Raw genomic sequence first — 13,044 nt, forward strand, 5'->3', positions numbered from 1 at the left:
AGGATTCACTTTTTTGTTGTTGTAAAAAGAAATACCTTTGAACCTTATTGGTGTGTCCATGGGTATATATGTATGCTAATATTATACCGAGAGAAAGGTTGAGTGAAAATATAAAATTGTCAAATACTGCGAACAAATTACCCAAAGCTATTGCTAATGCCCTTAATTTTATAAGGAGTAAAGTATAGTCATTTCAAATTAATACTGTAAGCTCTTTCATTAGAATATTAGTTCCTTGGTGCAGATCTTAATCTGTTATATTCCCAGTACTTAGCATAGCTGTAAAATAGAGAAGAGTATCAATAAATATTTGAGAAATGAAAAAATAAATGGAAAAGACCTGTATGGAGTACCTTCCTTATCCCACTCTTCAGGCTAAATATCACAAATTAAATCTTCCCTTGACTTCGAAAGTTGAAGAGGCTTCTTAGGAATATGAGATATCAAAATTATTTTTGCCAAATTGTAAGTAACTCTTGGGCCCTTTGACATTGGGAAGAGAATGCTGTTGATTTGCCTGATGTGTTGTGGCATTTAGTGATGGTTCTTCCCAAGCTTTAAGGATAAAAAAAAATCGGGTGAGCTAAGAGGATGGGGAACATAAGGATAACTATCCATTCTATGAAAAAGTAGCCCAAATGCCCATCAGGCAACAAGTGGATAAAGAAAACGTGGTATATACGTACCATGGAATACCACCACTTAAGAACTAATGAGTGCTCTTCCATTTGACAACATGGTTATCCATGTAACCAAACACCACATGCTCCCCCAAAACGACTGAAATTAAATAAATAAATAAATTTATAAGAACCTGACAATAAAATAATCTTTTAGGCATAAAGTCAATTTTACTGACATTTATGCACTTAGACACATTGTATAAAATAAAAAGAATAAAAAATACAGATATGCTCAATAAGCACAATATTTAAAAAAAAAAAACGATTGTTAAGAACCAGAAACTAACTTGACCGTTCGGTTTGCACAGGATTGTTATACAATCAGGACTTGCTCTAAACTTGTCTTGTTCCTTCCAAAGAAAATCTGATGGAGGTTGATGCTTTGCTTCAGATGCTGCTGCCCACACCTGTAATAAAATTGTTAATGACAAATGCCACTGGAGTTGAACACAATTTTGTAAATGTCATAGGGTTACTCCAACATAATCTTTCTGAACAGATGAGGTTTTAAAATATAATGACTATATCATATACAATGTCAAGCTATGCAACACCAAACAGCTACTCTACAGGGATTAAAGGAAAAAACGAGAAAGAGAGGACCCCTCCTGCATGAGCTAATTATCTGTTCTCTAAGCAAATAATCTCTTTGCTTGTCTTTTCAGGTTTATATTTACTTGGTTTCAGGAAATTAAGAATTTCATTTTAATAGTTAAATTATAAAAACAAAAGATATTGTACACAAAATTGAAGACAGCTGTGGAAATTTAACTGTGGGTATTAATTAACATCCAGAAGATGGACAAAGTGCGGTAATTAACCACCAACAACAAAATCACATCTTACGTACAGATCCAGATAGAGTGATAACGAGACAGTGCTGAGCCACAGACTGTCAGTGTCAACAAGTTTGTCCTGTACAATTCTAATGTACAGTATTTATACTCTTATACTCACTGTTACTGTGGAATTTGCCTGCATTACGATGTTTGGAAGGAATCGGTACAAAGAAATGGTTTGTCCATTCACATTTTGCTGGAGAATATGATCTCCAATTGCCATTTCTTTGTCAAGGGAAGAGTTAATGAGCTTCACGAACAAACCCTTGACATTCACTTCAGCTATTTCAACATCTCCAAGAGAACTAGAAAATAAAACACAAAGATTGTAAGCTGCCTTCAGATAGGAGTGTCTTTGACTCACTTTAAGAAGTGATTAATAAACTGCTTGAAAGTTGTTCTTAAACTGTATATTCTATTGGGCAAGTTCTATATAGGAATAGTATATTTTGTAACCTCAGACAAATGGCTTGAGTTTTTAGTTCTATTTCTTTATCTGTGCAATAAAATAACCTATTTCACTTAAAATAAAGAAAACTTAAAAAGTATTTTAGGTGTCAAGGTATAAAAGCCACAGGAAGTTGAGAATTATAATAGTTTAAATTTCCTACTGTTCAAGATAAAATCATTGAGACATGAAACTCTCAAAAGTAGATCAAGAGACAAATCATTTACTTTATTTCTGATAAAGTGACTGAAGATAAATAGCAACTATGTGATTAAAAGATTTTTGAAAGGTAAAAACTTTAAATAAACATAGGATGGTGTTTTTCACCTTTTAACTTGCATTGAGAGCTTTCTATGTACGATCCAGGGACCAGGCTAATCATTTACATATCATTATGTATCAGCATTTTTCAGATTGTGAGTCACAACTTATTAGTGGGTCAAAAATCACTTTGGTAAGTGAGGACCCCCATCTTGGAAATAAGATATATCTGTACCAATAATAATAACAATACCACTTATATGCCAGGCACTTAATAACACTATATATATATATATATATATATATATATATATATATATATACACACACACACACACACACACACACACACACACACACATATACACACATATATATACATATATATGTATATCTATGTCTATGTTTCTATTTATTTGTCTACCTATCTCTGTATATAGTTCTCCACAATTTCTTATCCACAGTTCCAAAATCCAAAAAGCTCTGAAAAAGCAAAAAAATTTTTTTAAAACATATTTGAAGCAAAGCCTGGTCCAAAACTGAGGTGAGGCTATTTATAGTCTTTGTTCATGGTTTATGTGAATATTTATATATTTTTCTGTGAAAAGATTAATGTTTGATTTTTGATACTTTTGTAATCCCTGACAGGGTGTTATATGATATGTGTTCTAAAATTTCCTTTCCTAAAATTGTCAAAATTCTGAATTTGGAAATATGTAAGTCCCCAAGTATTTTGGTGAAGGCATTGTGGACTAATAGTAACTCATATAATTCTCACAATAACATACGTATTTCTCATTAAAATACTTCTACATGTTTCTTATTGAAGGTCACACTAAAAAAATGTGAGGAACACTGTATTATCTCATTTAATTCTTAAAACAACTCAGACAGGTAGTATTTTAGCCCCATTTTATAAATAGAAAAACTGAGGTTTAGAGAGATTAATTCCCATGTCCAAGGTCACTCAATAAATGTTAACCCTTGTCCTTCTGCCTCATTCAACAAGTAAAATCTCAAATAGGTTTGACCTAACCATTCAGGTTGTTTAAATTCTGTACACACCATGGTGGTTGAACTCTGCTAGAAAACGCACACACAAAGATTGCTGCTACCAAAAACTTAGTGGTCTCCAACCACCTGGGCCCTTGCTGATTGACAACAAGTTGTCATCTTCATGAGCCAAGTCAGCAACTTCTGCCATCCTTCAACAATATCTCTATTCTCACTCTTGACAAATTATCTCACTAAGAAAACATGGCCATCAGAGAGAATAGTGTATTTCCCTGCTTCACACTTAGAAACAGACTCTCCTACAGCTGAGCCTACCTCTTCTCCATAGCCCACCCCATTTCCATGGAAGAGGCCCCTTCTTCCATCTGCAGTGAAGCCCTCTGGTCACCAACTCCTCCTGATGCTTCAGCAACTCAGTACCCTCATTGTCCTTCCTTTCTCCTTTAACACCAACTTCTCCCTCTGGACTACCTATTTCCCCCAAATAGGTACATATCCTTGAGGGGCTACCACCTTAAAAAAGAAAAAAGAGAAGAGTCCTTCTCCAGCTTACAATTCCTACTGCCATCACAACCTAGCTTTTGGAAAAGGCTATGTCACTAATTAATCACCTCTTATTTACTTCACAACCACCTGCCTCTGCTGGAGACCCAGATGACCAATGCCCTTCACAATCGGTAAATTGAGTGGCAACTGTTAGTCTATATCTTCATGTCTCCTCAGTATTGGCCTCTTTTTGGAAACTCTTCCCTTTGTTTCTTGAAGTCAACTGTTTTGCCTCTATCAGTTTTGTTACTTTTCAGCCCCTTTTTCTTATTTCACCCAGCCCCTTCACGCATCTCCCAGATGTTGATCCCTGGGATTCTGTTCTTAGCCCTCTTTTATTTCCCTCATTTATCCTTATAGGTGATGTTATCCATGAACAGTGTTTACTAACCATTAATACACTCATGACTGCTAAAACTAAATCTTTTGCCTAGACCTTCCTACTGAGCTTCGGATCCACAGAAACAACTGACCACAAGATCTCAAAAGGTACCCCTGAACTCATCACTTTGGCCTGTTGTAAATTTACTCTCCCAACTAGGAAACTATTCCAGTGAATTGCACCATTTACTCTGTTGGCCAAGCCTGAAACTTCCAATACTGTCCCAGTTTCTTATCCTTCATTCCTTATTCGTGACCAGGTTCTGCTGATTCTTCCTCTTTAGTGGCATCTATTTACGTCTTTTCTCCATCCCTGACTGCTGCCTTTATCACGCTCTCATCATTTCTGTGAGACACTGAATCAACATCCTAACTATTATCCTCAGTCTTACCCCCTTCTAAACATTCTCCACTTTGCTTCCAGAGCAATCTTTGTACAATCCAAACCTATTTCTGCTTGCCTTGTGGAAATCCTTCAATATCTTACCATTTCCTTCTATAGAAAACACAAAAATCACAGCACTCAAACAAAGCCCTACCTTATCTGTCAACTTCTTTAACCCCTTTTTCCTTACTTCCTACCTTATGCTGAAACTGCAACCATAAAGAATTCCTTGCAAGAGCATGATTCATGCTGCTGCAGGCTTCACTCACCATGCACACACATACTATTTCCTCTTCTTGTTTCCCATGTCCTTATAAACACTTCAAATTTTCAGCCTTCTTATTATTTTCCTATCATAGGTACAAAATGGAATCTCATTGTATTTAAATTTGTTTTTCCCTGATTATAGTGCAGTTGCACAAGCTGCTTATTGGCTACTCAGTTTTCCTCTTTGATGAACTGCATGTTCATATCATTTCATTCACTTTTCTGAATTTACATTTTTATAATTTATTTATGGTATTCGTAGCATAGTATTTAATTATATGCACATATTTTCTGCAAGAAGAGACTTTAAAAATACTTCATCTATAATGTTTCTTATGGTATAGTTTACATTTCTAAAATTTTTACTGTGATAAAATTTATCCATCTTTTTCTTTATAGTTTCTGCTTTTGGTGTCCTATATAAGAAATCTTTCCCTGCTCTTATGTCATATTTTCTTTTAAACGTTTCAATAATTTGCTTTGAACAGCTTTGTTTGTATGTATATATGTGTGTGAGAGTGTATTTCATATAAGGAGCTAATTTTCCTAGTTAATTAGATTGTCCATCATCTCCCTGCTGATTTGTAATGTCACCTTAGTCAAACAGCCAGTTTCTGAATATTGTAAGGCTTCCTAGCTGTTCCGTTGATCTAGCTGTTCATCCTGTGTGTATGCCAAATGGTTTTAATTTATATTGTTTTAGATGAAGTCTTGATTTTGGTTGGACAAGTCCCCTCTCATTTTCTTTTCCAATATTGTGTTAACTCTTTTTAGACTTTAACCCTTTGTGGTAAGCAAAATAGCTGTCCAAAGATGTCTATCTCTAATCTCTGGATCCTGTGAATATGTTATGTTAGATGGCAAAAAGGACTTTGCAGATATAACTAAAGTTATGAATGTTAAGACAGGGAGAGTAGCCTAGGTTATTCAGGTGGAATTAATCTAATCAAATGAACCTTAAAATTAGAGAATTTACTCCAACTGGAAGCAGAAGAGAGCTGCAGCGGGAGGGAAGTCAGAGAGAATCCAAGCACGAGAAGGATTCGATGCACTGTTGCTGGTTCTGAGATGTAGCGGCCCATCTGCAAGGACTGGGGAGTGGCCTTTTGAAGCTAAGGGTGACTGCATGCTGACAGTTAGTAAGGAAGTACTATCACAGCAAGGAATTGAATTTGGCCAACAACCTCAAAGAGCATGGAAGCAGATTTATTTCAGTGTCCAGATAAGAGCCTATTTAACATCTTAACTTTGACCTTGTAAGACTCTTAAGAAATCAGCTGAGACAACCCAGATTTATGGCCTAGAGAACTATGTGTTAATAAGTGGGTGCTATTCATGTTATTTTAAGTCACTAAGTTGGTGGTAATTTGTTATGGCAGCAATAGGACACTAATATATATTTCTTGTGATTTTTAGAGTCAGTTTGTCAGAAATGTTGCCCTGTTGGCCTGCAGTTTCAGTCCCAATGTTTTCATTGGATATTTAGTCTAGTGTCTCGTTATTCTATTTTTCTGTTGATAAACCAACTGCCAGCCAATATTTTTGTTGTTTCTTTGAAGGTAAATGTCCTTTTTCTCTGGCTGACTTTAAGACTTTTTTTGTGTCTTCTGTTTTAAAAAGTGTTTTTGTTTTTGTTTTTTTTAAACAATGTACCTGGTTTGTTTGCTGGCTTGTTTTCTTTTAGCCTGCTAGATGTTGGTAGTGCTTTTTGAATATTTGGCTTGATGTCTTTCATTAGTCTGGGAAAATCTTCTTCTGTGTTTCCATCAATACCATTCTACCTCAATCTTTCTTCTCCTTCAGTGACTTTAATTAGAAGTAGATTAAAACAAAATCTTGCCTTATTCGTCTCTTATACTTATTTATAACCTTGCTATCTGTGATTCAGTCTAGATATTTACTTCTGAGAATATTCCAGTTCAGTGATTCTCTCTTCTGCTATATCAAATGTAATGTTAAACCCACCTACTGAAATATTAATTTCCGTTACTGGATTTTTTTTACTTCTAGAACTTGTTTATGATTCTTTTAGTTCCCAGGTTTATGTTAAAATTTTTATCTTATCATTTAATTACTTGAATATTTTAGTCATTGTTAGTTTGAAATCCTGGTCAGAAGACTACAATGTCTGGACCTTATCCACCTGTTCCTGGTGTCCACTTTTAATCTTGGTGTTTGGTCAACTCTTATCTTTTGTATACGTTGTTTTTTTTGTTTGTTTGTTTTTGTTTAGTGCCTAGTATTACAGAGAAAAAACTGCAGAGATAATTTAAGGTTCTGTATATTTTTTCACTCAAGATTTACTTTTGCTTCTGGTAGGCATCTAAGTTGGGAACAAATCACTTTAAATTAAATGTGAAATAATTGGACACTGTACTGGTCTGTTTTGCATATAGACTTACTCTTCCATCTTTCCTTGAAGTTTCAACTGAAAGCCTCAAGTGACCCTCCATTTTTTTTATAGGCCCTAAATGCCAACTTTTATTCACCCAGTCATACGAATCTTGAGAAAAACCTCTAACTTCTCAGTCTCTTAGTTGCGGCTTTCAAAATTGGCAGCTGTTTTGAGGAGAAAAGTGGCTCTAAATGTCAGGCTATCACTCTGGATTTTGTCTCTCAGAAGAGGAATTATGAAATTAATGGGTGTAACCTTCTATGAAATCTCGTGATATACATTATCAAATTCCCTTCAAAATAGTGGTCTCACCTACATTGTATGAGAATGCCTTTTTTACAGAGGTTCACTTTTGAACAATTTATGTCATAATTTCTTTTCTTCTTCTTTTTCTTTTGCATTATCATTATGGTTCTTACCAAATTTTGGATGTAGCATTTTACTCTTTGACATCCCTGGAACTCCTTTGTGTCATCCTCATCTTACTGTTACTAAATTCTCTGCAGGATGTTTTTATTTTTTGACAGAACATCCTTTTGTTTTTCAGACTTGCTTTTTCTGCCTGGGAAGATGAGCACTAATTTGACTTTTGTTTTTAAACAGATAAGACCCTGGAATAGCTCAGCTATTCCTTTGTTATTATACATATAACTGGATATTTACAGTTGCTTTTCAAAAATCCTTCATTATACAAGCAAAGTGCTTATTTATTAACCTCAAATTTTTATTTTATGCATATACATAGAATAAATGTTCTTGTCTGAAGGAAAAAACAACATTGTCCATATCAGAGCACTTTATTTGCCTTCTTTTTGATATAAGATCAATGCATGGAAATTCACAGAGGCAGGCTGTTAATCTGCTGTCACACAGCCTTTAGTAGTTATCTTTTTCTCTTCCCTGCCAGCCTTCCCATTTATCTTTAATAGGAAAGTGACCTGAGACCTCTACTTATAATTTGTGATTGACTGAGAGTGGAGAGTGATGTTGCAATCACCATCAGTAGCCTTTGCACAGTCTCTATTTGTAAAGAGATTGAGGAGAAACATGGCTAAGTCACTTTTTAAACAAAATTACTTTCCATTATTTAAGCACTAATTTATCTATTTGTTGGGCTCTCCTTGATAGCTCCATGCTATTTATTTGCTTTTAGGTTTTTTGATATTCTGCGGTTTGCTAAAATTATCTTTGAAGTTCCAGTTCTTCCAACCTGTATATACCTAACATTTCCTATATAGGTGTTTGTAGTTGGGGATATATGGGCTGATGAAAGGGTACAGCATTTAAGAGTCCTTAAATTTTTAAAGGACAAAGTTAGAAAGATTCAGGGAACTTAATTCAGTTCATTGGTACTACAAGAGCCCTCACGCCTGAAAGTTTTGATGGTAGATCCTTAATGTAATGGAGATGTAAATTTGTACATCACTACGACAAGGTTCTAAATCATCCAAGGGAAGAATAAATGGGGTTTAGTCTGAATAAGAATCCTTTGGGAAGATGAGGATATTTGCAGCCTCAAAATTGTTTTAAACCAGAACCATTCGTGTGTTTATCATGATCTCAGTGAGGCCCATCTGAATCCAGAGCTTACTATCATTTTGACTCTAGACTTGTAGGATGCAGAATTTCTTAGAGGTTGAGATGGAGGATGAATGAGAAGTTAGCCTTCTTAATATAGTTTGATCACACCTGAGACATCTAGAACTAAACTTGAAGCCAAGGTAAGGTCTTGGATATAGTGTAACTAGTGAAAATCCTAATAATGTCTCTACTTTGTTTCCTGTTTGCCTACAACTCCTTTTTTTTTCCTTCTGCTGTCAGATATTAAACAAATCCCTAGAGATAGTGGGTGGTAGTAGGAAAGAAACAACAGCTTTGATTGAAAACAACCAAATTGAGAATCAGCTTCTGTTTCCAGCCTAGATGAAGTTACAAGAAGTGACTTTAGCCTTCCATCTGAAACAACTAAAAATCTGGAAAAATATATGAAACAATATTTTTGAAGATATTTGATACTTGTCAACAAAGAATAGTGATACTTGAGAGACAGAAGAGAAATGTAGTGAGACTTAAAATTTCCCCAGATTATTTCTCGAGAAAATTTCAAGGCTGCATCATGGAGGGTGCATCCTCTCTGACTTGAGGAGATGGAGCTGAGAGTCTGGGGAGACCAAGGTGGCTGGAGGTCACAAGGAGAGTATCAGACATGGGAAGCTGCAAAAAGAGCGCTGGCGATTTTCAGATGGTCCCCTTTGAGTATTTAGCAGAAGACTGATCAGCACATGTATTTGAGTAAATGCCCCAAGACTGTAGAAAAAGACTATTTTGAAAAGATTAGAAGGAACAGTACTTGAAGCTGTCACAGGGTAAGGAAGTTCCCACCAGCCAGACTGAAAAAGCTCATAATTAATGGGGCCTTGTGTACAGTACTAAGGAGACTTTTGCCTCACTAGTGGAGAATAATTAATAACAAAGTGAAGACATTGATTTGTTTCCACCTAACAAACTGTAAAAGCTAGTCCTTAAAGCCTCAAACTATTTCCAAGTAACTTAAGTGGGTCCCAGAACAAAACTCAAGAAATGAAAATTCATAGAAATACAAAAATATTCTAGCCCCCAAACAAGGCAAAATCCACAATTTCTGACATACAATAAAAAATTACCAGGCATGCAAATAAATTGAAAAATACAACCCATAACAAGGAGAAAAATCAATAAAAAATGATGCAGAACTGACACAGATGTTAGAAACAGTAGAAAAGGAAAAATCCTTATAACTGTATTTGTATGTTCAAAATGTAGAGACATGACTGAGATTTAAAAATACACTGGATGGGATTAACATAATAGTAGTCATTGCAGGTGAAAAGATCAGTGAACATGAAGACATAACAATATACACCATCCAAAAAGAAACAATCAGAGGAAAAAGTACATAAAAAGATAAAAAATAACAGAGCATTAGTAAACTATGGTACAACTTCAAGTGGCCTAATATATGTGAAATTGGAGTCCCTTAAAAGGAGAGAGGAAGCAGGGACAAAAAATATTTGAAGAAATAATGGTAAAAATTTTCCCAAATTTTTAAAATTCAAAATATATAAATATGCTAATCAAAAAGCATAACAACCCCAAGCATAGGAAATTTGAAGAAATTTACACCAGGCACATCATAATCAAATCTCCCAAAAATAATGATAATGAGAACATCTTAAAAGCAGAATATTTGTGCAGAGGAGCAAATACAAAAATGAAAGAAAATTTATTGAAACAATTTAGACAAAAGTAGTAGAGCAAGATCTTGAAAATATTGAAGAAATGAGAAAAACTGGGACAAAGAAAAAACAAATAACAAGATGGTAGACTAAACCTAATCATATTAATGATAGCCTTAAATGTAAATAGTTTAAATGCCCCAATGAAAAGACAGAGATTTTTCAGATTGGCTAAAAGAGCAAGTCTCAACTATATGCTACCTACAAAACATTCACTCTAAATATAAAGACACAAATAGTTAAAAAGTTAAAGTATGGAAAAATATATACCATGCTAACACCAGTAAAAAGAAAGCTCCTGTGGCTATATTAATATCAGACAAAATATATTTCAGAACAAAGAATATTGCCAGGATAAAGAAAGTCATTTCATAATGATACAAGGATCAATTCATCAGAAGGATGTAACATTCCTAAATGTTTCTGTTTCTACATCTAATAACAAAGCTTTAGAATACATGAAACAAAAGTGATTGAATTGCAAGGGAGAAATCAACAAATCCACAACTTTGGTAGATATTAATACCCCTCTCTCAATAATTGATACAACAAGTAGACAAAAAAATCAGCAAAAAGACAGTAGACAACACTATCAACCAACATGACATGGTTGACATGAAACATTCTACTAAACAACAGCAGAATACATATTCTTTTCAAGTGTACTTGGAACATTTACCAGAATAATTAATATCCTGGCTATAAAAGAAGTCTCAGTCAATATAAAAGGATTCAAGTCATACAAAGTATGTTCTTTGACCACAATGGAATTTAATTAGAAATCAATAACAAGAAGATATCTGGAAAATCACTGGAACTGAAAAATCTGTAAAACACTTTGAAACTAAATAACACACTTTTCAATTACCCAAGGATAAAAAAGAAAATGAAAATTAGAAAGTATTTTGAACTGAATGAAAATAAAAATACAATATATTAAAATTTGTGGGATGCCACTAAGCTGTACTTAGAGGAAAGTTTATAACACCAAATATCTGTAGTATCAAAAGAGAAGAAGGTATCAAATCAATGACCTCAAATTTCACCTTAAAAAATTAGGGGAGAAAAAAAAAGCAAATAAAGCCCAAAGTAGGGGAGGAGCCAAGATGGCCAAATAGGAACAGCTCCAGTCTACAGCTCCCAGCCTGAGCGACGCAGAAGACGGGTGATTTCTGCATTTCCATCTGAGGTACCAGGTTCATCTCACTAGGGAGTGCCAGACAGTGGGCGCAGGTCAGTGGGTGCACGCACCGTGCGCGAGCCGAAGCAGGGCGAGGCATTGCCTCACTCGGGAAGCACAAGGGGTCAGGGAGTTCCCTTTCCTAATCAAAGAAAGGGGTGACAGACGGCACCTGGAAAATCGGGTCACTCCCACCCGAATACTGCGCTTTTCTGACGGGCTTAAAAAACGGCGAACCACGAGATTATATCCCACACCTGGCTCGGAGGGTCCTACCCCATGGAGTCTCCCTGATTGCTAGCACAGCAGTGTGAGATCAAACTGCAAGGCAGCAGCGAGGCTGGGGGAGGGGCGCCCACCATTGCCCAGGCTTGCTTAGGTAAACAAAGCAGCCTGGAAGCTCGAACTGGGTGGAGCCTACCACAGCTCAAGGAGGCCTGCATGCCTCTGTAGGCTCCACCTCTGGGGGCAAGGCACAGACAAAAAGACAGCAGTAACCTCTGCAGACTTAAATGTCCCTGTCTGACAGCTTTGAAGAGAGCAGGGGTTCTCCCAGTACGCAGCTGGAGATCTGGGAATGGGCAGACTGCCTCCTTAAGTGGGTCCCTGACCCCTGACCCCCAAGCAGCCTAACTGGGAGGCACCCTCCAGCAGGGGCACACTGACACCTCACACTGCAGGGTACTCCAACAGACCTGCAGCTGAGGGTCCTGTCTGTTAGAAGGAAAACTAACAAACAGTAAGGACATCCACACCAAAAACCCATCTGTACATCACCATCATCAAAGACCAAAAGTAGATAAAACCACAAAGATGGGGAAAAAACAGAAGAGAAAAACTGGAAACTCTAAAAATCAGAGCGCCTCTCCTCCTCCAAAGGAACGCAGCTCCTCACCAGCAACAGAACAAAGCTGGATGGAGAATGACTTTGACGAGCTGAGAGAAGAAGGCTTCAGATGATCAAATTACTCTGAGCTATGGGAGGACATTCAAACCAAAGGCAAAGAAGTTGAAAACTTTGAAAGAAATTTAGAAGAATGTATAACTAGAATAACCAATACAGAGAAGTGCTTAAAGGAGCTGATGGAGCTGAAAACCAAGGCTCGAGAACTACGTGAAGAATGCAGAAGCCTCAGGAGCCGATGCGATCAACTGGAAGAAAGGGTATCAGCAATGGAAGATGAAATGAATGAAATGAAGTGAGAAGGAAAGTTTAGAGAAAAAAGAATAAAAAGAAACGAGCAAAGCCTCCAAGAAATATGGGACTATGTGAAAAGACCAAATCTACGTCTGATTGGTGTACCTGAAAGTGATGGGGAGAATGGAACCAAGGTGGAAAACACTCTGCAGGATATTATCCAGGAGAATTT

At 36.1% G+C, this 13,044-nt stretch overlaps 1 protein-coding gene across 27 annotated transcripts in view; it reads right to left on the bottom strand.

Moving 5' to 3' along the window:
• The window catches only part of LMNTD1 (lamin tail domain containing 1), a 172,497-nt gene that overhangs the window by 49,047 nt on the left and 110,406 nt on the right, over positions 1–13,044 (bottom strand). For 20 of the 27 annotated variants that reach the window (XM_011520575.2, NM_001256266.1, NM_152590.3 and 17 more), the window contains 2 exons: positions 1,641–1,827; positions 971–1,090 (listed from right to left, as the gene is read on the bottom strand). In XM_011520575.2, coding sequence (XP_011518877.1) covers positions 971–1,090; positions 1,641–1,827 — 307 coding nt within the window. Of the gene's footprint in view, positions 1–340; positions 556–686; positions 781–970; positions 1,091–1,640; positions 1,828–2,655; positions 2,715–4,826; positions 4,908–13,044 lie in introns of those variants that run through there. The other 7 variants (XR_931277.2, XR_931276.2, XM_011520587.3 and 4 more) reach the window with 7 other exon arrangements.

Source organism: Homo sapiens, chromosome 12 (genome assembly GCF_000001405.40).
Source record: "Homo sapiens chromosome 12, GRCh38.p14 Primary Assembly".
NCBI lineage: Eukaryota > Metazoa > Chordata > Mammalia > Primates > Hominidae > Homo > Homo sapiens.